This window comes from Homo sapiens, chromosome 3 (assembly GCF_000001405.40).
Source record: "Homo sapiens chromosome 3, GRCh38.p14 Primary Assembly".
In the NCBI taxonomy this organism is placed as follows: domain Eukaryota; kingdom Metazoa; phylum Chordata; class Mammalia; order Primates; family Hominidae; genus Homo; species Homo sapiens.
The window spans coordinates 77,549,487-77,575,550 of record NC_000003.12 but is presented as its reverse complement, the minus strand read 5'-3'; the positions used below and the strand labels follow the sequence as shown (position 1 = coordinate 77,575,550).

At 34.0% G+C, this 26,064-nt stretch overlaps 1 protein-coding gene across 41 annotated transcripts in view, besides 1 other annotated feature; it reads right to left on the bottom strand.

Annotated features, from left to right (window-relative positions):
- Window positions 1-26,064, bottom strand: part of ROBO2 (roundabout guidance receptor 2) — a 1,743,290-nt gene that overhangs the window by 74,414 nt on the left and 1,642,812 nt on the right. For 40 of the 41 annotated variants that reach the window (NM_001378191.1, NM_001378195.1, NM_001378196.1 and 37 more), the window contains 7 exons: window positions 24,562-24,733; window positions 17,402-17,607; window positions 12,819-12,900; window positions 12,222-12,384; window positions 10,431-10,597; window positions 7,117-7,238; window positions 821-1,052 (listed from right to left, as the gene is read on the bottom strand). In NM_001378191.1, the coding sequence (NP_001365120.1) occupies window positions 821-1,052; window positions 7,117-7,238; window positions 10,431-10,597; window positions 12,222-12,384; window positions 12,819-12,900; window positions 17,402-17,607; window positions 24,562-24,733 (1,144 nt within the window). Of the gene's footprint in view, window positions 1-820; window positions 1,053-7,116; window positions 7,239-10,430; window positions 10,598-10,962; window positions 11,102-12,221; window positions 12,385-12,818; window positions 12,901-17,401; window positions 17,608-24,561; window positions 24,734-26,064 lie in introns of all 41 variants that reach the window. The other variant, NM_001290065.2, reaches the window with a different exon arrangement.
- Window positions 388-1,587: an enhancer, noted in NCBI's record as "BRD4-independent group 4 enhancer chr3:77623115-77624314 (GRCh37/hg19 assembly coordinates)". NCBI's record gives its function as "activates an origin of replication core promoter dependent on BRD2, P300/CBP, MED14 and CDK7 cofactors, and independent of BRD4, by STARR-seq in HCT116 cells {active_cell/tissue: HCT116}" and the evidence as "EXISTENCE:reporter gene assay evidence [ECO:0000049][PMID:35650434]".

The window sequence follows — 26,064 nt, the reverse complement described above, 5'->3', positions numbered from 1 at the left end:
TATAATTTAAGAGCTCTTTGGTCAAGCACATAGATGTTAACGTGGGCAACCTATATACATTTTTTAAAGGCTTCTCTTATTTTGTATGAAATATGTTTAAAGAAAGGGCTTTTTACAAGAGTTGTGAGCACAAAATTAATACAAAAGCAGAATGGAGGGATTTATTTCATTTCGCATCTCCTTTTTTTTAACTTTAATGACAACATTTATTATAAGCCTCTTGTTTAGTGAAAGAGATACTACTAAATGAACTGGTGGAAAGCTTGTGTTCATCACAGATTGACTTTAACATACCTTTAGGTAAGAAAAGGTCCAAAGTGGGGAGAACGAGGGAACTTCACTAAGAAGAAAGCTACTGCAAATACGCAAGTGCCCTTCCTGATTAGAAATCATGGGTTTGACTGGCAGTGCCCATAGGAAAAAGTGGCTAATAAAAGAAAATGTCACACTTAACTATAACAAAAGAAGAGTAGTCACAATGAACAGCCTGTGTTCTCAAATTTCCAGTCGTCTGTCTTTCATGATCCAAATGAACTAAATCTACACAAAATATAGGGGAATATTTAATAATCCAATTCAAGTGAACTTAAACATAAGATTTGGTGCAAATGGTTACTTAAGAAAAATTCAAATTACATTAGTGTCCTTTTTTCTGCTTGTCAGATTCTATAGAATTCTCAGAATAAAAGGAGAAAACGACACTTCCTCAATTTACTTTTAGGTGATATCTTTCCATTCTTCTAAGGAAGATAACAAATAGGTACTGTAACAGAAATTGGTTTCATCATGTTTGATTTATATTCGAAATCTGAATACTGACCTTCTTCAGTAGTACGAACCGTTTTAGATTCACTATCCATTCCTTGGAACTCATTAAAATATGGCCGTACTTTAATTTCATAAGTCACCCCCTTTTTCAGGTTGACTAAGACAGCACTTCGTTCAGTCGGGACTTTGGCATCTAAATTCTGCCACGAAGATGTCGCCTGCAGACCTGAAGTCTGACGATACATCACTCGGTAGCCTTGGATAAACTGGGGTTGGCGATCAACCTGAAAAACATAGTTAAGGGCATTTGAAACTAAAGGAAAGTATTTTAGACAACACAATGAATTTGTCCTCTTTTCATTTGTCCCATTTCTGTCCTCATAACTATCAACTGAGTGATGTCATGACTTTCTAGCTAATCTCTCTGCTTCTAATAACTTCTATCCTTTTAGAGTTCAGATTGCTCCTAAGATTGTTTCCAAAATGAAGATTGGGAGAACTCTCTCTCCTGTTTAAAATACCTCACAGTATCTAAGATACCAACCTAATTAATTAAGATGCCTTGGATTAGCACAAGGGCCTCTCAAAGGCCAGACCTGCCAGTATCTCTAACTTTATGTCTCCTCTGCTTACCCATTTTCTGCATCCAACAATTCCCTTTTATGTGGCTTTATATGTAATATGCCCTTTGTCAGGGATTTCCATTCTCATTCTTTGTCTATTCACTAACATCATCACTCAATCAAAACACATGTTTTGGGTTCCTACTCATAGGTGCCAGAAATTCTGCTGAGCTCTGGGGATAAAATGGACAATGAAAATAGAGTCAGCCCCTGCCCTCATGAGCTGAGGTGAGAAGATGGAGTCCAGGTAGAAGGTAGGAGTGGTCTAATAATGACTGAACCATGGTCAAGTTACAATCATAAAAAAAAAAGCATAAACAAATGTTAAGAATGAGAGGTGCCAAGAGCTAAGAAAGCCTATAGTGGAGAGAAAGGTGACTGAGTTGGGAAGCAGAGGCAAAGCATCCCTGAAGAATTCGTAAGTGCTTAGATAGGCAAGAAGAGCAGGATTTACCCAGGAAAACAAATGTGAGGACATCATGTATAAAGTCCCTGTGGCTGGAAAAAGCATATAATACAGATTAAAGTTGTAGAGCTAGAGCATTTGTTTTAAAAGCATATGAACGTTTATGCCCATTACCAAATATTAAATGAAAAACTTTTACTAATTTACCAACTTCTGACTCTTCAATTGTCCCATTCTTGACAAAATTTGACAACTTTTTGATATCTTCATTTATTTAAGATACAGTAAGAAGCTATTTTAAATAATAATCTAAGATTAAACTCATACCAAATAGAACTTTTAAAAAGTGTTTTTGTTTGCTATTGACAATCACCTAAAAATGAAATATATAAAAATGCAAGATTAAAAAATGAAATATATTCTTCTCTGTATACATTTATTTTAAAATATTTACCAGGGTTTTATGGTTGTTTCATTTTCAGGGAGAAAACAACTATGGATTTTAAAAATTATTTTTAAAAATTAAGCATCTTTTAATACTTTGTCATGTTTTTAGAAACACTTGATTTAAACACAAACTATGATAGCATGTTCCAACTAATATCCCTTATCATAGTTTAATAGCTATAGTCTAACAAGGCTTAAATTTGACATACTTCACTATCAAATAAAGTGTAAAGATTAATGGAAAAGAAATGGAATAACCTCATTTCAGGAAGTTTGTAGAGAAAGAGGAAATAAAAAAGAGAATTATGGAGACGGTTATTAATTTCAGCTTTAAACAAATTTCTTTATCCAAGAAATTTGAAATTTGTTCAGCATTTGAAATTTGTTTCAACTTTTGTTGAAATGTTGAAATTTGTCGGCAGTTTATAAACAAAACGTATTCTTTCATGTATTAACTACTAATATCCCTTCTTTAGTTGCAGTATTGTTTTATTTATTTTTAATTGGGGGCAACAAATGAATGTTAGCTAAAAATATTGGCTTTAGAAAGTTAAAAATGCAGAGCCTCAATAAAAATACAGTGGAACAAAAGGAAATACTTAGAATGTCCAAACGAGAAAACTCCCTCAATTAAGTGAGTGTGTGTGTGTGTGTGTGTGTGTGTGTGTGTTTCTATGTACGGCTAATTCCAGTTTCCCAGATAAGTCTCAACAAGAATGAATTCCTTCACCCACCTGAAAGCTTTCTCACCCTCAAAGACTTTCTGAAATTAGTGCTACACTTGTATGAGGTCAGGTAAAAAAAAAAAGTGAGCCCAGGTGTAACATGGAAGCTGGTGATCGGCAAGTCCTCATTCATGCTACCAGTTTATGTTTCTACCATTGGATACATTCTTTGAAAAGCAGGAGTTTTTCTGACACTATGAAATAAGGCAACCAAGAGGCGAAAAGTTAAATTTATGAGAGCCAAAGAGAGATGACTTTCATCAAAACTGTCAGTGTTCAAAAAAACCCTTGCAGTATATGTTAAAACAACACTAAGTTTGCATTTTATAAACTTCTCTGCATTTGCTTTAAGTGAATTTATATACTGAAAGAAAGACATAACTCACAATAATAGCTTGTTAATACTGAAAGAAGCAAGCTGTGTTTTTAAGAAGAACATTAAGCAGCTGTTTCCAGATGAAGGGAGTCTGTAAATCAGGGTAAATTGGTTTTATCCATGTTTGGTTTTCATTAATTAAGTGTTTTAGGGACTTTATGAAGCTAATGTTTACCACAAAACATTGTTTTGCACACTTGCACACTTCAGTGTACACTATCATCGGCCAGTATATCGTATGGGGCTTAATAATTAAATAGTTTAACTTGATTGTGTGCAGTGGCAATGCATTTTTTTTTTTCAGGACGAAATTTGTTGTTACAGGTGGAAGCAGAAATGAAAACACTGAACATTTACTTTAAAAAAAATAGGTGAGATTTTTACTGGATGTGTGTTCTACCTCACTAAATTTTGGAGCTCATTTTGACAGGTGGTCATTTTCAAGTTAGGCCATATGTTTGTTACGAGTTTTATTAACATTCTAAGAAAGAGGATTTTCTTTTAGAGTTGATTACAATCAGAGTCTGACCACAGATTCATGGGTTTATATATTTTTTTAAAATAGTATTTTCTGAAACATGAATAAAAAAAGAGTTGTCTTAAGGAAAAATAAAATGATTACGAGAACTTCAGGCTTCCAGCCATAGGTCTCAATTTGAATTAGGCTTCAACCTCTTAAACTTTCTGAACCTCAGTTTACTTAATTTGCTCACATAATACCCATATCTCAAGGGCACAGAAACAATCAAGTGACTGATATAAGTGAAAGCATTTTGCTGGCTTTAGAGATGCACAATGATAAAACATAATTGTTAAGGAAGCAACAGGCTAAAAAAGAAGACGGCTTATATGTGGCCCTAAAATCAGCATTCTAGTTAAACTGTTTAAGTGTGATGCTTCATATTTACCTTTTCCATTTTCAAAACAAAACAACATAACAACTCAATATAAAGCAAAAATTCAAAGTGAATTTTCTTTGATGGGTTTAGCTGCTAAGGGTCTGATCTGGTTTTAGCAGACTTCTGAAATTCTAGTTTGTCGAAGCACTCTTTTCAATCTCTGTGGAAAAATGCTTAATGGGCAAAGAGTATGTAATTCTTTTTGTCCTTGAACAAAACAAAGACAAAAAGTAAAGCTAGAATAATCATTTTTCGGTAAGTGACTTATTGCTATTTTTCTTTGTGGAACAGCAGGTTTCTTATCATTTTTGCCCACACTCATTCTAAAAGCAGCCATTTTAGAAAGCAGTTGTTGCTAACTATTGTTTCAAGTTTAGCCTGGTGAGAAGGGGGACAGCGAATGGTCTCTACAGTAGTTATGTCTTGTGCCTTTGGTCATTAATCCTGCCAACCACTGGGAAACTTCCTCAGCTGGCCCAAAACCTAATCACATGGTGGGGAATTATTTCTCCCTTCAACCCCAACACTTCTGTAAAGCAAATGCTAACATTTTGATAATTTAAATAACACATGCATTTAGTAAATCAAAAATATTACATCAATAAAAGAGTTACACAAATTATTTGACCACTGGACACACCCCAGTCTGACTTTATTTCACTTAATTTATCTCTTTCAAATGCATACTTATGTCATGTGCAACTACAAAGTCATAGAGAACAATATGCCGTGATATTAACTGAATTCTTTCTTCTATTAAAAAAAGTGTAAAATGTATGAAAACAACTGATTTGATCATTCAACAAACAGTTATTAAAAAGAGTACTTCATAATAGACACTCTGCTCTGAAAAAAACAGAAATGAAAGAAATTGGCTGTAGCCTCACAGAAGTTACAGCCCATGACGGGGATAGATGTGCAAACTAGTAATGATAGCTTCTTGGGGTACAGAGATGAATAGACAACGTCCCCCTCCTGGAAGAACTCCCAGTCTGCTGTCATGCAATTTTGATCTAATGCTATTTACTCTTGAAACTAAGTGACTTTAAAGTGATTAACTTCATCAACATAATGACTTTGATTCTTACCCAAAGACTTCCCACATTTAGATGCAGCTTAAAAGAATCCGCCTTATAACTTGCAACAGAACAGAGACTTTTTTCAATTGAGAATGAGGAAAACTACTACGCTGTGAAAAATACAGCGTAGTATTTTGGCTTTGTTAGTTTTGTATCTACTCAAGGGTACTGAAAGATAGAAAAGGCATGGCAGATAATACCCCCTACTGTGCCACTGTAAAAATAATAACGTAATTGTGTTCCCTTCATGGGAACAGAAGAATAGAAACCAATATATGCAGAAAATAGAATAAATCTATGCAAAATTATGTCAAAACTGGAATAAGAAAGTGTAATCCTAAATAATCATAATTACTCTTAAAATATTATAAACTTAGTCTTATTTTTAAAATATATACAACCCAATTTTGTACTCATAAACCAATAATTTGACTGATTATGTAGTTTGCTTTAAGGAGTAACAACATGGAACAATAACAAAAAAAGCCTGAATAGCTAAGGCAATCCTAAGCAAAAAAGAAGGAAGAAGGAGGCTTCATGCCACTCAACTTTAAATACATAACAGGGTTACAGTAACCAAACTGGGAGAAAATGTTTGCAAATTACGTATCTGATAAGGCATTTGTATCTAGACTATATAGACACTTATAAGTCTATAATAAGAAGACAAACAAAATAGAGTATATAAACACTTGTTAAGTCAATAAGAAGACAAACTCTTTGTCCAAAAATGGACCAAGAGTTTGAATAGACATTTCTCTAAAAAAAAAGTTCAATTAGGACATGAGAAGATGAATATGATTAGTCATTAAAGAAATGCAAATCAAAACCACAATTATATACCACTACACACTCACCAGAACGGGTATAATCCAAATGGCAGATGATAATAAGTGTTGGCAAGGATGTGAGAAAAAAATGGCAAGGATTTGAGAGAATCTGGAACACTGAAACATTGCTAGTGAGAATAGAAAATGCTATAGCCACTTTGGAAAGCATTTTGGCAGTTTATCAAAATATTAAATGGAGAGTTACCAATATTACTGAACAATTTGTAGGTTTATACCAAGATAAATGAAAACATGTGTCCACCCAAAGACTTGTACTCAAATGTTCATGGCAGCATTATTCATAATAGACAAAACTGGAAACAACCCGAACATCCATCAACTGAAGAAGGAATAAACAGAATGTGAAGTATCCATAAAATGGAATACTATTTGATAACAACAAGAAACAAAGCCCTGATACGCGCTACCACATGGATGAACCTCAAAAACATTATGCAGAGTGAAAGAAGCTAGACACAAAAGACCACATATTGCACAATTGTACTCATATAAAAGGTCCAGAATAGGCAAATCTACAAAAACATAGAGTAGATTAGTGTTACACAGGGCTACGGTAGGGGAAATGAGAGAATCAATGTTAACAGGCACAGGATTTCATTTGGGGATGATGAAATGTTCTAAAATTAGATTTTGGTGATAATTTAGAAACTCTAAATACACTAAAAATCATGAAGTTGTTCACTTTATGGTATGCTAATTATATCGCAAGAAAGCTGTTAGAAAATTCAGAAGACAGGATATGCCATGTTTATATAATAATCTATTCTTACTATGGTTATTCTAGTAACTTTTTAATTTGTTGATTTTCTTTACTATCATTGATTACACCTTGATTTTAAATGGCGGGAATTTTTATTATCACTCTTTGTTCATTTGCATTTTCCATGTTTTGCTTTCCCGAAAGAGAAGAGATTACTATTAACATTGCCTTTGAAAGCTTACCGTCCATGTGACCTGAACCGTGGTGGGAGTCAGCACAACTGGATTATGAAGACGGACAAGGACATCTCCTAGCTCTTTCTGCACTTGCCTGTGGTCCACTCCTTGTGCTGGTGGGCTGATATCTGCAGTTAGAGAAGAGAATCATTCCCACCTTTAAAAATTCATATTAAAATTACAATTTATTTTATGTAAATCAACCTCATGTCTTTAGAACTAATTACAGGGAAACAAAACGAAAACTCTCTTGTGACAAAAAGCATTTAAGCCTATATATATAAATATACCACTGTGGTAGGACATAATGAAAGATGATATTGATCTTTATTAAAAATATACTAATAGAAGAGTATTTGTAATCCCTCATCCGCATTCAAATGCAGACACACTGTTGTATAAGATCACTTACTTTATTACTAAAGGATAAAGTATGTGCTGTAAGACTTCTCTACAGAAGTCTAGAAAGATCTCTAGAAAGAGCAGCTTTGTACAGATGTTGGTGTATTGAATGATTTTCTGGATGTGTAAATTGGGATATATCTAAAAACTGATGCTAAGGGACCTGTTAATCCCTTGTCCCAATTTGCAGGTTGTGTTTTCTTCTTGACCTACTTCAGTCTGGGAGCATGGATGGAGAAGTAATGGTGGACTAGGAAAGTGAATTCTGTCATTAAAGGTAAATAGAGTTGGGGGAAGAGGGGAAACAGCTCCTCAAATTTGCAAAGATACTTTTGACAGAAATAGTTATAATACTGATAACATGTTCTAAAGTAATACATTTTGAGCAGTACTCTAATACCTGACACGAGGTCATGCAGACATGTTTAGGAATAGTGGTGGGGAGAAGGGAAGAAAGAAAGGTCATGTTTAAAATATTATACCCTCAGTCACACATTGTTATGCCACATTATTCATCAGTCTCCTAAGTACTATTCTATTTCTCCATATGATGGTTTATATTCTCGGTCCATTAAGAAAAAAGGATAAATTATAGGCTGTGTCCATTAAGAAAAAATGATAAATCGTAAGCAGCTAAGTCCATCAAATTGATATTAAACATTGAATTTTACACATACTCAGATTAACTTTTTAAGCTGGCACACAATGTTGTTGAATTGTTTTTCTCCAACTATTGTATTTAAGAAAGGAAGTCCAATTTAAAGTTATTTATTTTCGTAATCCTGTTTTTTCTTATTATCTCAGGCTACAATGCATGCAGCACTCTCGCGAAAGTATTTTTAAGAACATTTCTCAGCTATTACTTAAATTGGGAGCACTAACTTAAATTGGGTCGTAAATAATTGAGACTAATACTTAGGTAATGTTTTTCCAGTTCTACTTTTTTTTTTTCATTTTTAACATAAACAGTAAAATGAAGTTTTACTTAATTTGAAAAAAGTCCCTTTATGTGAATAACATTAATCTATGCCTATATATGTATGTTCTGTTTTGATGCTGATAATCCAAGTATTTGTACTTTTAATGAAATAAAAGATTTCTAGATTCTCTGTTATTTAATACCTTTGAAAAATAAGAGTTCACAGTGCAAAGTGTTCTTTGAAAAAGAAATGCTTTGCAGATTGCAAAGCTGCTGAAAGTATGGTACCCAAAAATAATCCTGACCTTCAGACACAACACGTGGGTTTTCCTATTAAGTATTTGTTAAGAGCACAGAAGTCTTTCACTCTATATATTCTTTCCATTGGAACAAACCAGACCACAAACAACTTTTCATTAATCTTTCTTGACCTCTTCACTGCGAGTTATTTTATGAGTCAAGATTTAGTGACTAGCATAGTTATCGAATGATCAAAAAGGTCTGCCAGATACAATCACACCAAATATCTTCCCATTCTGATCTCTCTCTACGTTTCACTGGCTACACACAAAAACTATTTCTATGCACAAAGGTATAAATGATCACGGTACTACAATTTCTTGACGTAAAATTGTACACATTTTCCATTTTAAGTTCAATAATAAAATTTACACACTTAATTCAAACACAGTAAAAAGCAATCAGATTTAAGGAAGGTAAAATATGACTAGGTTCAAATTTCAGATTTTCAAATTCCTTGTTGTGCTTTTTCTTTCTCAAGAGACAGGTTCTTTACCTACAGGCCCTTTATCGCCATGGAAAATTAATCACATTACTGCTTAGAGAACAATAGCAAAATGGCATTTCCTCCTCCCTTGACTGTCATCATGTCAGCAACGTTACAAAGTCACGTGGTGACTTTATTTCAGTCGATTCCTTTAAGGTGCCCTTCTCCGTTATAATAGCATGCTAGTTACTATCACCGAACTACATTGTAATTATAATAATATTTTATGGCTGTATGGTGCTTTTCATTGCATAAAAATACTACTTTGAATTATATCTTGTTCAAAGTCTTTTACAAATAAGAAATAATTAACCCTTTCTGAAGAACCCTGTGGGAAGTAGGTTATAACAAATAATAAAATTACCGTTTCTATTTTATTAATTTCTTTTTCCTACTTGTCAGAAGGGAAACTATAATGTAGCATTGTATATTAAACCTCAGACTCCAGTGACTTCTCAGTTTGAAGAGACAGGTAATAAGGATAAAATTATGAAATCTTCCATTTTGAAATTATATTTTAATACTCTGTGTGTATTTTACATTATAGTCGAAAGAATTGAGTTCTTTAGAAAGAAAACTTGATTTCCTGCTGTCTGTAATAAATTGCTCCTTTAAACATCTGATTTAACGAAATTCACTGTAGCAGTGGTTGTAAAACTTATACATCAGCATCACAAGGAGGGTTTGTTAAAACAAACACTGGGCCCCAACCTCAGAGCGTTTGAATTTGAGCCTGAAAATGTGTGTTTCTAACAGTTGCAGGCTATGCAGATGCTGCTTACCCAGGAACCACACTGTGAGAACGACTGCACTATAAAAACAGAATTCCGAAACAATAGGACATAATTTTTATACCTCTATTTGGGCATCTACTCATTAAAGACCACTTTTCTGTTATTGTGTAATTAATTTTAAAGAAGGAGAAACATTTTCCTCCCTTTGAAATATAGTAAAGCTCTAATTTAGTGAATTCATTCGACGTAGAGGTACCCAATTATTTTTATTTTTTGCTGAATAAACCCAAAAACTCCAGAAAGAGAACACATCTCACCAAGATAAACAGCAAGCTACCTTCTCCTTCCCTGGATAAAGCCTAGTGAGCCATCATACAAAGCAATGCAGGCACATGTATATTTCCTCATCAAGCCCCTCGTTCTTAAATATCTGATGTTTCTGCCTAGAACCAGTCTTGTTGACAGCTGTTGAAAGTACCTTGTGTGCGCACAGGATCTGACATGGGACTTGGGTCACTGAGACCTTGGGGGTTGATCGCTCTGACCATGAATAAGTAGATTGTATTGGGCCGCAGTCCTCTTACAGTATAGAGGGTGGTCTTTACATGGTTTGCCACGGTCTGCCAGCTGTTGCTCACTGATTGGCTGAAACGCGAACAGAAATTTCATTTAAAGAACAGTCATTTGAAGATTGGAAATGGAGTTGGGTATCAATGACAAAGGTTAATGGCTGGAAATTAAACACACACACACACACACACAACACTTGAAGTATTCAGCCCAATAAATGAAACATTTGGATGATTTCAATTTATTCCACAACAAAGCCGAGCCCACCTAACAAAAGTGCCATGCACAACAAAATTAAACTCAGCCCAGGAGATGTGACAGCCCTTTGCTAATGCACAGCAGCCCACTAAATGAATACCTGTAAAAGGAACAGAGGCCAAGATCACAACATCAAGTTTATACAATAAGTATGGTCCTCGTAAATGTATATATATATATACCTTGAAAAGAATTAACCTGTAGAAAGAATAAATGGACTACAGAGTAAATTATGCCAATACATTTTCCTGTTACAAGGTGTGTTTTCTTTTGCATCATTTCCACATGCAATATTATAACTGAGCCTTCTAAACTACATATCTGTAAAAGAAGAGAGGAAGCAGGTAATGAATATTTTCCCTTGGTTACATTGTTAATAAAATTGTACATTATACAGTATTGTGATTTCTCATCTCAGAACGGTGAAATCTCTCTGAATTTGTGTGTGAGGACCCATTTACAGCCAGCCACAGATGGATGCCATTTTAGAACAGTTTGTCTAAGGTCAAATGCCACTTTTGCTCAGAAGAAAGGGCAAATGTAATTTTCAGGGTGGTCAGTTTATTTTTCTGATATGCTTAACTGTCCACGCATAAGAATGATAGAAACGTAGTATTTTGAAATTTGAAAATTAAGTACCTAGCATTACCTTAAATAATGATTAGAGAAGCTTATAAGAAAGTGATCATTTGTCCTAATGTTTAAAAAAAACAGTGGTTATCCATTAAAATTTATACTGTCACGTAGAAGCACATTTGAAAGGGAATATGAAAGCATATTTTACCATTTGTGTAAGCATTTTATCAAATTTTCATAGGACAATTTTATACTGATATTTGCTAATTTACATTTAAATCTTTAAATTGGCAACAATTATTTCAGATAACACGTGGAAACATCTTTTCCATTAAGCAACTAGAAGCACATGGAATAAATTTATTAATTATTGTTGTTAATTTTCTCTCAGGCATATCTAATAGATGTATGTAATATATGGTATAAAAATATTGGGATTATTTTAAGTTCTGCTCTAATTATTAGGAATATAAATGCCAGAGTCCTCTGCTTCAATAAATGTCACATAACTTTAAAAAGTGCCTGTGCCTATGCCTAATTAAAATATTTTCTACCCAGTTCAGATGCCTAAATTCTCACCTTAAATCCCTACAATGGTCTGGGTAAAGAATGGAGCTAAGTGATTATGTTATGAACTGGATCCCCATAGACCTAGGCATGAATAATGCATATTTAAATCTTATAATTAAGTTGTAAACTAAAAAAAATTAACTCTGTTCTTGAATAAAGTCAGAGAGAAGAGATCAATTCTTAAAATGCATTGATTGGACATGTCTTTAATAAAACAGCAGGATAGTTCAGGTGACATTTTAGAATAAAGGAGCTAAGACAAAACCCAGTGGAGAAAGAAGGAATTGTCCCATACCTGAAAGCCTCAATGATATATGCACTTGCTGGAAGGGTTCCAGGGGTACCTGGCTGCCAGGACAAGGTGACACTGTTCTTAGTAACATCAGTGACCTGCGGTTTGGATGGTGGCCCTGGCAGGTCACTTAAATCATAGTTTTTACTGATTGTTGCTCCAGACTCTATAGAGGACAGACAGAAAAAACTTCATTCCTGATTGCATAAGTTGACAATACTGCCTAAAAGAAGGAAGCAGTCTACTAAAGGACCTGACCTAGACAGTGAGAAATTCATCTCCATGAATCAGAAGTATGTAAGTGAATGTTTGCTTCTCCTACATGTTAATAAAAGTAAGCTGTGTTTTTACATAGGATCATTAGAATTCCTTACACTTCAGAGGAAATAAAATAATAAGGTTATCAAAGACAAGTGTATTAAATTCCACAAATGTAATGGTGTGTGCAAATTCATGCATGAATTAAAAAATGGCATTGAATGTAAAGGCTAAAATTTACATTCAGTGAATTAAACACTTTGATCCCCCCTTAACTTATTATTTGATATTGAGCTATCAGAAAAGGGGCCCAAGATTTCTCCTAATTCACAAAGTCCTCACCTGTCACATCCAGCACTGCACTCCAGGAAGTCTCTCCACTTGAACTTGTAGCCACACAAGTATAAGTGCCAGTATCAGAAATCTAGTGTGCACAGAAGGGAGAGAATTAAATTGTTTCAGTCAATTTGCAGAATAATTACTCAATGACAGCCAGGCAATATTTAATTTCTTAAAATTAGATGTATCATTTTGTTGTCTAAATTATGCATTAGAGTCAATCATATGTATACATAAAATAATGAAATAAACTCATATAATATTATTCATAACATTGGTCCAAAGGGCTTTTAAAATAATATTTATGCACCTCAATGTTAATTTGTCTGATAAACAATTTGCCCCTCTCTTTTTCTTCCTCTGTGATAATACTCTTACCTCTTAACTCCATTTTATGGCAGGGCTCTACTATATCTAAGTTGTTTATGAATGACTCAGAACAGAACTCTTTCAGAATCTCACAAAATTCCAGAGAAGCAGTAATGCAAAACTGTTCTGTCTCAAATAAACTATGTTTCAATGAATAAAACATACCCGAGTAAATAAGCAATAAGACAATAAGGGATCACACTTTCTTTCTTTTGAAAGACATGGAAAAAAGTGAAGAAGAAAAAGAACTTTTTTTTTACCCCGAGACAGAGTTTTGCTCTTGTTGCCTAGGCTGGAGTGCAATGGCTCGATCTCAGCTCACTGCAACCTCTGCCTCCTAGGTTCAAGCAATTCTCCTGCCTCAGACTCCCGAGTAGCTGGGATTACAGGCATGTGCCACCATGCCTGACTAACATTGTATTTTTAGTAGAGACAGGGTTTCTCCATGTTGGTCAGGCTGGTCTCGAACTCTTGACCTCAGGTGACCCGCCTGCCTCAGCCTCCCAAAGTGCTGGGATTACAAGTGTGAGCCACCGTGCCCAGCCAGAAAAAGAAATATTTTTAAGGTAAACTTCTTCATTTAAAAACTTCAATATTCACTTATATGTAAATTGCAGTAGTGGAAAAATGAATAGAATAAAGTATCATTAAAAAAATGTGGCTATGGAGTGACTGCAATTTCAAGCTGAAAGGGAACATAAATATATCATAATTCATAACTCTTTTTTGATCACAATAAAAACTTGCCATTTCATCGATCACTTAAAATGGTTTTATTATTCTCAGAAGAGTGGCAAAGGACTTTCAGAAAAAGTTGATAATATAATCAAGAGTCCTCTTTTACAAATGCAAGAAGCAGAAGATTCTGTGATTATATTTTGAATAAAGCCCCAAGATCAATAAAAGAGGCAACTCCAAAATTCTGTGTGATCAAGCCTTGTGGCTTACACTGCAAACAACATTCATTCTCATCAATTTAGGAGTAAAGGAAAAGTCACACTGGGAAGAGAAACTGATGACCAAACAAAGTCAGACAAGGCAGAAGATGTAGAATTAATATTCTGTGATGAACATCAGTCTAATTGTTGATGAAATATAGTCGCTCATGGAATATTATATCTGCTGGGTTCAAACTATAAGTGTGTTGATGACTCAAGCTTTCTCGATTGATTCTCAGGTAAATCATTAGTGCCTGGATGTTACTGCCATTTCACTATCTTAATTGATTTTAAATGCCATTATGTATTTTAACTTAAGTTCCAAATTGCTCTGGCATGACATTCTTTGCCATATTATCTCTGTACAATTGTCTTCTATTACACAGAGGGAAGATGGGGATAGCCATTGTAGAAAGAGCCATTCTTTCAAATGTGGCTGTGCACACATTATAGTCATTAGAAATCTTTGCATTTAAGAAGCATCACTCACAAACTAAATATAATGAGCCGAGGTTGGATTTTAATGGGATGTTCATTTGAATATGGTCTGTGAAAGAGTAAAAGAATTTGCATTTTATTATAGCTGTTGAACTAAAATGTAGCACTTGTTATTACTTGCAAATGCTAAAAGAAAAGTATGTAGGTAATGCTTCTTAACTGCATCTCCTTGTCATTGTGTGGAGATACAAGTATGACATTAGCTGCGGTAGGTATATTTTAATGAGTGCTGGAATATTCTACTTCTCAAAAGATAAAGATTCAGTTACCAATTAGCTGGCCTAGAAGAACACAGTATTCATCACATTATTTTTTTCCCTTGCATTAAGTACTGAAAAAAAAATAGTGAGACACAAAGGAATACAGCCTACAGAAACTCTCTTGACTGTATGAGTGAACTATTGGAAAGCCCACTTCTGTCTCCCTGTAAGGACAGTCATGTTACAGGAAAAGAACAACGTTTTCATTTTGGGGTCCTCATAAACCTAAATATCGTTGCTAAAACTCACTCTTGGTATTACCATCATCACCACATTTTATTCCTTTAATTTTATTCCTTTAATTTTAAATAATGTCTTTTTCTGGTGAGGAGTGCTTCTCATCTTTTCCATGCTTGTCCTTTTACCCTTAATAAATTGCTTTAAAATGAGATTAATGTGCAGGCAAATTCCATCATCTACTTTTCTCCTTGTGCACTTGGCTGCAGACAAGCCCCAAGGAGCTGGCATCTCAGAGAGACTACTCAGAAGCCTGTCAGAGGGCTCAAAGTTTGTTTGACATCATCAAGCACCCACCTTTAATTGCTTCTTTCAAACACTACTAGAAATCTTGACTACTCAAGCATACCCTTTAATTCAGTGATACAGTGAAAATGCATTAACCTCTATGGCCCAAGTCTGCCTTTAGCCCAGAAATAGAGGTTAAAGTGTTTACACAAAGAGAGTTGGCATTAATTTTTTAATAACTTCCATTTTGTTCAAAGAAGGTTAACAATTAATTTACAATCAATAAAAAGACAGGCTCAAAATATCTGTATTAATTTACTTTTTTAAACTCAACTTGGCAGCATTTTTTCTATTTAAAGCAATAATTAATGCCTGTATCTCAAAAATTAAAGATAAATATTATATATATAAAGTAAAAACTTATGTGTGCATGTGTGTGCATGTAGCAAAAATAGTCACTTTGTTTTCTGATATACGTCTGTATGATATAGCGATAATCAGATAAACATATAATTGTAAACATATTCCCATTATAAAAGAACAATATGCCAAATTGTGATCATTTGGAAATATGTGTAGTTAAAAATTTTTGCCTTTCTTTTTAGCTCCAGAATGGGAAGATTCTAAATGCTGTTTTGCTTTGTTTTTCTTCATCTTGGCTCTGAATTTCAACCTGGACCCAAGATTCTACAGATTTCTCCTCCACTGAAATTTTCTTCATGCACTATTACATCATCTACCTTAGTTCTGGGTCTCATCCCCAATCTTGTGATTACTAAAATATACTCTCCAGCTTTCACATAGCACTTGCTACATGGCAGGTAGGAGGAAGGGACTTACCATACCTAGTTGAATGAGTTGAATGTACTGATAGAGGACAGGTGCCCTCCATGATAACATCCTTCTGGTATTTGTATCTTGTGTAATCCCTCACCTGGAGTGTAAGTGGGACCTGTTGGTTCCCTTCTGGCCAATATAATATTGCAAAAGTGTCAGTATGTCATGTTTGTGATTTGTTCCACAGGACTGTAGTGCCCATCTTACTAGGAGACTCTCTTCCTTGCTGACTTGGAGGAAGCAAGTAGTCATATGGGGAAGATCCAGATGGCAAGGAACCAAAGGCAACCTCCTGCCAACAGCCATTGATAAGGTGAGGTTGTTAGTCCAGTAGCCACAAGGAACTGAGTGCTACCAAGAATAATGTTGATTGGAAGCAAATCCATCCTGTGTCAATCTTCAGATGAGACGGCAACTCTAAATGACACCTAACTGGAGCCTTGTAAGACCCAGAAGCAAAAGACACAGCTCAGTCATGCCTAGGCTCCTAACTCACAGAAACTGTGATGTAATAAATGTGTGTTGCTTTTAGCCACTGTATTTTTGTTCATATTGTTCCATAATAATAGATAACTGATACAATATTCAGAAGTAGACATTTTATTTTGAGTTGCTCCTGAAGCAGGACTGACTTGTTAAGTTGCCAGGAATGCTCATTTTTTATCATGTAAACGTCAGTAAAAAACCACCAATGCCTTGTTCTTTCCATGGGTTTAAATCTAAACTACACAACAACTTAACCTACAACCTAAGGTTTCCCACTAACCAGGCAAACTCGCCGTTTATGTACTCAGTCTCATCTCTTTATTTTTCTTCTACTCAACTCTTTGGCCAAGCCACTTTATCTACATTTCCTTACAATTTCTTTTGCGAATGAAAGTAAATCAGAAGCATTTGTTGTTTTTGTCATTTCCAATACCCTACTACTCATATTAATGCTATGTGTTTAAGATTTCTAGATTTGTTGACTGTATACATATGGAATGGGATACAGGAATAAAAGTTTCGAGATTCTGTTATGAATGTGTGAGTAACGTAAAAACTGTGACCTTTCCTCTAATTTCATTTCATCATTTTTAAAATAAGTAATAACATTAACTGTTTTTAAACGTGCAGCAATTATACTAGGATGTAAGATTTTAAGTTCACTATGCAATTTTTCCATAGAGCAGTACTTATGTGTAGATGATAATTCATGTACAAGTCCAATATTACTTACCCGTAAATTCTTAATCTGCAGTGTGCCTTGCTCTTGAATTGTTGCTCTTGGATCTCTACCCGGAAAAGTAAATCCCTCCTTTAACCAGCTAATTACAGGAAGAGGATCACCAGTGGCTTTACATTTCAGTAACGCTGTACCATCCACTGCCAGCGTTTGGTTGGCTGGGCCTTGTAGAATTATAGGTGGAGGTCTATCTGTCAAAACTGAAGAATAAAGCTCTTTTCAGGTATTTTAACATCAATGTAGTTCAGTAGGCTTGATATATTGACACTGAAAGTAAGGTTAAAGCCCCAACACAATATATATTACTTATAACTTATTCTAAGCAATATGTATATTCTTGGTCATGTATATTCTAAATCTATCATATATCTATCATCTATATATGTACATACATATATACTATACTAAGGCCATACTATTTATTGTCAATAACTTCCTCTGCATTACCTATAATTAAAATGGCATTGAGATAAATTCTGACATTTTATAAAGACTTAATTGTATAAAAAGGCTTAGTCGTATTAAAATTAAAATTTGAATAGCTTATGGCAGTCAGTCACCTATGAAATGTTCATTTTATCTCATATGCATATTTAAGAAAGTGTGTGAAGTATCATATGAGTACAGCCAATTTTCACTTTTGCATTTATCATAAATATAGTACATAATTTCCCCCTTATGGCACCAGTTATGTGCTGTATTTATACAGGCTAAAATATTTCTGCTGATGTTAAAATATTAGATTATAAATAATTTCCTTCCAAAATTGTGACATGAGCTCATCAAATTACAGTCATATCATTTGGATGATTTGATTTAATTAGTGCTTATAATTGATCAAAGGAAAGTCATCTAGATTATATTTATCATATGACAAAAACAGTGCTTGTGCAAAATCAGTGTTTACATGTATATCAATTGTTGTGTTCATTTGGATAAATTTTCCATAATTTCTAAATGTTTAGCTTAGTATTGCTTTTTATTTATGAAATACTGTATTTGTAGTAGCATTTCGGTAGTACAATACAACTGTATCGTAGTAGCATTTCAGTGCTTTTAGAAGTATTTAATGATTATTTAAGAAGGACATCAAAATGTACAGTATTATTTACATGGTTAAGAAAAATATAGAGTTGACCGGAGGTAAGATTTCATTTAGAATTCATTAGAAGATCACCATATAATCAAAAGGACATGTCCAGGTCCAGGGAAGTCTTTCTAAAGAGAAAGTTCTATAAACTTCGGCATAGACAGCATAGACTTTGGTTAATTATCCAAAATATGCTTTTTATTGTGTATGGTTATATGTAACATATAAAATACATGTAGTATATAAAAGAATATATATGAAAAAGACTTCCACAAAAAAGAAAAAATGAATGATGGATTCTAATAATTTCTAAGCAACTGTGAAGATAAACTGTTGTTTCTCAAAAAACTCACCTTGTATTGCAATGTATACAATTGAAAACAGTTTGCTTAACGTTCAAATTTCCTTTGCCCACCAGCTTTTATAAATGGCAGCTTAAAATTACTATCTTTCCAATTTACTTGCATCATATTTACTAGAGTTCATAGTTTTAGGGAACAAAAGATTAAAGTTAAGCAGCCTTTTCAGAACCTATCATGAGAAAGCCAACCAAATTTAATTGAAGCTAGAATTTATGATACAGGTTACCTTCATATCAAGACATTGCAGATTCTAGTCAACCTAAACCTATTTTATCAGTGATAAAACCTAAGAAAAACAATAAAAACTGTTTATCATTCACAAACAAAAATTAGAATCATTTATTTCACTGCTTTTTTCATCAAATTCTTACTTTTAATACTAAATAAAACATTTTAAGAAAATATTGAAGTAGAATATTGTAATAATTCTGGCACATCTGTCAGTAATTAGGCAAATAGAAATTCAAACTAAAAGTTTCATGGGACTTATTTTTATGGGTCAAAAAGAGAAGGCCAATGAACAAAACACTATGAGTAATTTTTTAATGCAGTGAGAAAGTGAGTCTGTGTTACCAGAGTAAAGCATACTAATTAAATTTTAAACGATTTTTTTTCCAAATTAAATACCTATGCAGAATTCAGGTAACTTCTTATAACCTGCTTTTATTGTCATATCCCTGAAATCATTAGATGCAGCCAAAGGTCATCTAATTAGTTTTTTTCTTTCTGTTTTTTTACTGCCCTAATGAGTAGCTCATCACCTTTTGAATGAATTGATCAATAAAGTAATTGAAAATCTCCTGGCCAGACATAATTTTCAGTTCCAAGGATGTTATGGGTGAAAGATGACCACAGGTTTCCATGACACTTAAGTCAAAGGTTAAATGAACATTTAGGGATTCCAGTGATCTGTGAACAACTCCACGGTTTTCTCTCACTATGCATTATAAATACTCAATAAACCATTCATATAAGATCATGATGTGACATTTATTGTCAGTACAAGATATAAATACATCTTATCTCCCCAGTCTTTTTAACTTCTATTGGCTCTATTCACAGAATGCTGATTACAATTTCCTAATTCTCTGAGAGAAAAAGATAGAGCAAAAGGAAAGAAGAAATACAGAACAATGCCAGTGAACTAATGCGGAAGTCTTTTAGAGAAATATATTGAAACTCAAGTATATTGAAACATATTAGCTTAATCTATGATCAGTAAAATTGTTGCTCAACATAGCACTATTCAGCATCATTAGCAATTTCATCTTTTATGAATGTTTGAATTATAAATATTTCCAGAAAATGAGTCTAAGCGCAAAAATGTGACAACAGATACACTGCTCTAAACGGAATACAGGCATATCTCAGGGGTATTGTAGGTTTGGTTCTAGACCACAACAATAAAGCAAATATTGCAATAAGGAAGGCCACACAAATTTTTTTTCCCAGTGCGTATAAAAGCTATGTTTACACTATTCTGGAGTCTATTAAGTGTAGAATAATACTATGTCTAAAAAAAAGTTCATACCTTAAAAATACTTTATTGCTAAAAAATGCTAATGATCATTTGAGCCTAGAGTGGTAATCTTTTTGGTGATGGAGGATCTTGCCTCAGTGCTGATGGTTGCTAACTGACCAGGGTGGTGGTTGCTGAAGATTGGGGTAGCTGTGCCAATTTCTTAAAATAAGACAATAAAGCTTACCATATTGATTCACTATTCCTTTCAGGAAAGATTTTTCAGTAGCATGCAATGCTGTGTTATAGCATTTTATCCACAGTAAAATGTCTTTCAAATTTGGAGACAATCCTCTCAAACTCTGATGTTGCTTTATCAATTAAGTTTATGTGATATTTTGAATCATTTGTTATCACTTCAACAATCTTGAATAGAAGTAGATTCCATCTCAAGTCATCACTTTCTTTGGTCATCCCTAAGAAGCAATTCTTCATTTGTTCAATTTGTATCATGTGACTGTAGCCATTTAGTCACATCTTCGGGATCCACTTCTAATTCTAGTTCTTTTGCTATTTGTACCACATGTGCAGTTACTTCCTCTACTGAAGTCTGGAACCCCCTCAAAGTCATCCAACTTTCCAAACTCCTGGTAATGTTGATGTTTTGCCCTCCTCCCATAAATCATAAATGTTCTTAATGGCATCTATAATGGTATATCCTTTCCAGAAGGTTTTTAATTAACCCTGCCCAGATCCTTCAGTTGAATTACTGTCTACAGCAGCTATAGCCTTGGAAAATATATTTCTTAAATAAGACTTGAAAGTTGAAATTATTCCTTGATCCATGGGCTGCTGAACAGATGTTGTGTTAACAGGTATAAAAACATTAATCTCTTTGTACATCTCTATCAGAGCTTGGGTGACAAGGTACACGTAGATGAGAAGTCATATTTTGAAAGGAATTTTTTTTTCTGCAGAGTAGATCTCAACACTGTACTTAAAATATTTCGGTAGGTAAACCATGCTGTAAAGAGATATGCTGTCATTCAGGCTTTGTTTTTCCATTTACAGAGCACAGGCAGAGTAGATTTGGAATAATTCTAAGGGTCATAGAATTTTTGAAATAGTAAATGAGCATCAGTTTCAACCTAAAGTCACCAACTGCATTAGTTACTTACAAGAGAGTTAGTCTGTCATTTAAAGCCAGGCATTGACTTCTTTTCTTCAGCCATCAAAGTCCTAGGTAACATCTTCTTTCAATATATGCATGCTTTGTCTACATTGAAAATCTGTTTAGTATAGCCACTTTCATGAATGAACTTCTGGATAACTTGAATAACTTGATAAAGCTTCCATATTAGCCCTTGATGCTTTACCTTGTACTTTTAGTTATGAAGATGGCTTTTTTCCTCAAATCTCATCAACCAACCCCTGGTAGCTTCAAATTTTTCTTCTACAGCTTCCTCACCTCTCTCAGCCTTCAAGGAATTGAAGACAGTTAGGGCCTTGCTCTGGATTAGGCTTTGGCTTAAGGGAATGTTGTGACTCACTGATCTATCCAGACTCTAAAACTTTCTTCATATCAGCAATAGGCTGTTTGACTTTCTTATCATTTTTTGTGTTCACTGGAGTAGCACTTTTACTTTCCTTCAAAAACTTTTCCTTTGCATGCATAACTTTGCTAACTGTTTAGAACAAGAGGCCCAGCTTTTGGCCTATCTCAGTTTTTGACATGCCTTCCTCACTAAACTTAAGCCTTTGTAGCTTTTAACTTAAAGTCAGAGACATGTGACTTTTCACTTGAACACATGGAGGCCACTGTAGAGATACTGACTGGCCTAATTCCAATACTGTTGTGTCTCGAGGAATAGGGAGGCTCAGGGAAAGACAGAACAACAGGGGTAAAGAAACCAGTGGGTAAAGAAACCAGAGCACACACATTTACCAGTTAAGTTTACCATCTTATATGGGTGCAGTTTGTGATACCCCCCAAAAATTATAGTAGTATCAAAGATCACTGATCACAGACCACCACCATAACAGATGGAATAATAATGGCATTGTTTGAAATACTGTGAGAATTACCAAAATGTGACACAGAGGCACAATGTGAGCACATGATGTTAGTAAAATGGCACCAACAGACTTGTTTGACCCAGGGTTGCCATAAACCTTCAATTTGTAAAAACCATGGTATCTGCAAAGTACAACAAAGGAAGGTATGCCTGTAATCACTTCTTTCTCTGAACATGACATACGTTTTCATTCTACCATGGAATTTCAAATGGCTCTACAATTCCCTGAATTATATCAAAATAAATGTGTTCAAAATGAAATAATGGCTCAGATAGTATTAAATCATTAACCTGTATGAAAAATCAAAACTATGGGTAGAAGCTTAAGGCATCAGCCAATGTGGCAACTTCATATTTAGAGACAGATTAATTGATAACATGTGTGTACATATTTAGTTCTTATAGTTTCATTTCTTTACTGTCAAAATCAACAACACTGTAACTTCTAATCAATGTCTCTGCAAAAGGATCTTGACTTTGTAATTGCTTACTCAAGTAAAAATCAATATAGGAATTAATACTCAAGCCAGTTGTAACAAAATGTTTAGAGCAATCTCAGTTGGCAGAAGATTTAACATTGGTCATCACTTATTTTTGACCACAGAAAGAAAGCTAGACTAACTACTGTTTTGTAATATAGCATGAGCTAGTGTAAGGCCTCAAAGGTTTTCCATTAATTGTATCAGACGTAATTCTGAATATCCACCTGTTTTATGAACGATAACAGTCACATTAACTGGCTCTTCTAGTTCATCAACTTTGCTTCCCACAAATATGGTTTGCCTTTTCCATAACAATTTCTTCATTTAGAAACATTTGAGAGTCAATCTTCTATAAAATATTATAAGTAGTTAAATGATAGCCGGTATCTTAAGCATTACATTTGGTGTGTTCTTAGGAATATAGAATAAAACATAGGCTTTGGACAGAATATCTTATTTTTCAAGTGTATGTATCTGGACATTTTTGTTGACAGGTGAAAACATAAGATCTTTTTAATGATTAATAATTATCTTTTATTCTTTTAAAGAAATATGGAGGTACAAAGAATCAAAGACCTTGCCCATCTAAGGAAGAATTTCTCATCACTGCTATCCTTGAACCTGACTTCTCCTTTCAGTTCCATAGCAGTAAATCTCTGCAGCATCAGCAGGTGCAGCCATTAACGACTCAATGTCCCTGCAGCCAATGTTTGTCTGTTCTATTTATTCCCATTCCTGACATGTCACTGAATCAGGCCATACCATGAACAGATATTAAAAAATACTGCCTTTCTATTAATTTTAAATGACCTTTTAATCTACATGTAAATTTAAATTGTATAAAAGCACATCAAATTTCACCATCAGAGAAAGAAGGGGATCAAGAAGACACCACAGACCAAAGCACTTGTATCTCAGAAGCCAGCATTAGGGGAGAAAACAAAAGTAAAAATCCTCACAAATAAAGGAGAGTAAGAAATAATTTTCAGTTTAAGACATCAAAGAATAGGGATTAAATTCACGCTCAGAGGTTCATGAAATATCTCAAATTTGCTAGCTGTCAATTGTGACAAATAAACTGCTGGGAAAAAACCAGATTACGCAGAGCCCTTCATCCTTTTCAACTTTCACTATGAATGTAGGTGCCTCAGTTAAGATTCAAAGTGCATATGTGCCAATAAAAATAATAATTTTAGCATTGTTCAGCACTTTGAAAGGTAGTTAATTTAACTTAGTGAATGCATAATTAAAATCATAGGAATGTCCTAATGTGATTAGCTAACTAAAATCTCATCTCTGATAATATTAAAGGTGGTATGACCTCCTCCTAGAGTGAAATAAAATTATTAATGTCTAGTAGAGCCAATCATGTCAGCCTAAGACTAAATAAAAATATACAGATTACATTTCAGTATGCAGTGAGTGTGATGACATTTATTTAAAAAAATGCACTATTCTATTTTTAAGAATTAAGTAAATTATCTCTGAAGTTCTTCTTTGGGGAAAATAAGTGGTATTCAATCAGGGAGAATTAGAAACTACCAAAAGAATGTGACCTGGATTCAAACTTAAAAGATAAGCATACATAGAAATGATTTAACAAATCAGCAAACTCCACATGGTTAACGTGTATCTAGAAATAAAAATCAATGTTTTCATAAGACAAATCTAGTAAAGATATCGCACCATCAGTAACCTCCAGTTGAGCTTTTGCTAAAATGCTTCCTGCCACAGTTAAAGCCTGGCAGATGTAGTAACCCGCGTCGGAACGTTGAATGTTGGTGATTGTGAGGTCTCCAGTTGGTGACACTGAGCATCTACTGTTGGGCTGCTGGGGTTGGTTTGGGAAAAGTAGGTTCTGTGGAAGCAAGCACAATCTCATCAATATTCATTTTCCACTTAAAAAAATTATGTGAATAAAAGCTACTACAATTAAGGAATACAGTGGGAAAAAGAAAATACACAGATTAAAATATATATGGTTCAGAAATGTTTAAATGCCACACAGTGGGTTTCACTGATAAAGGTTTTCCAAATCATGGTGGAATAATATCCTCTAAGAAGTCAATATTTTCTAGTTGAAAGAATAATCATCTGTGTTTTTAAAGAATGGGGATCTTTATCTCATCCTGATTTTCTGCTAGTTACTTAATATCTTTGAAGCTTTTTTCTTCATCTGGAAAATGGGCAAAACAATTCTTATCTGACTCAACTACTAAGGCCTCATGAAGATCTGGCCATAACATTGACTGTGTATGGGTTGTATAAACCGCACAGCTCTGAAGAATGCAAAATATGATTGCTGTTGATCATTTTGAATACTTGATGGACTCAACTGAATTTCTCCCAAAGTTGTTCAAAAGTGTGTGACAGAGAGCTGACTGTACTTCTGCTGTAAAGTTTTTGCAGCTTTGAATGGGGTTATAAACAAATGCTACAATTTAAGCAAGAGTAAGCAAATTACTGAAGATAAAAAGAAAATGTAGAATGTTTCTAAAAGTGTGTTACCTTAAACAATTTCATAATATTACTTTCTTTTTAAAACAAAATTACTTTAGTTTACTCTATATCTCATATATACATATAGCCTAATTACAAATTGTGAAAGTTCATCTATGAGAGGAGTAACATTAATTTGGATGAACTGTGTTGCTTTACTGTTGTTCAATTAAGAAAAACATTTGAGTATAATAAATTATATTGGGGCATGTTTCCAAGTTGGATTATAAATAAGGAGATATCAATTTTTATGTTGTATTTACTTACAAAAAAGGACATTTTAACCCTCTGGGATCTGTTTCTCCATATAGTAATTAATTTTCCAGGTTTGTAATTAAACAGTTTCAATACGTTGCAATCAGGAGGCAATAACATTCAATTAAAGGCCCAGGACACATTTTCACCTTAAAATGTTTTTACCCTTGAAGTAATACCAATGGAAGAGGATAAAATAGGGTATTAACACTTTTCAATTATGCTCAATGACTTTAATCCTGCAAATGATGTCCTGTTTTAATTAGAAGCTCTTCTCTTTATTGCAACATGATGGATGTCCACTTTATTAGATTCAAGTGTGACACTATAAGCCCACTTTACATAAACATTACCATGTTATTAAACTCCGTCTAAAACGAGTGATGTTTGCTAGCATGTCAGGAATGTAATTTCAATATGCTATTGACCTCTTAT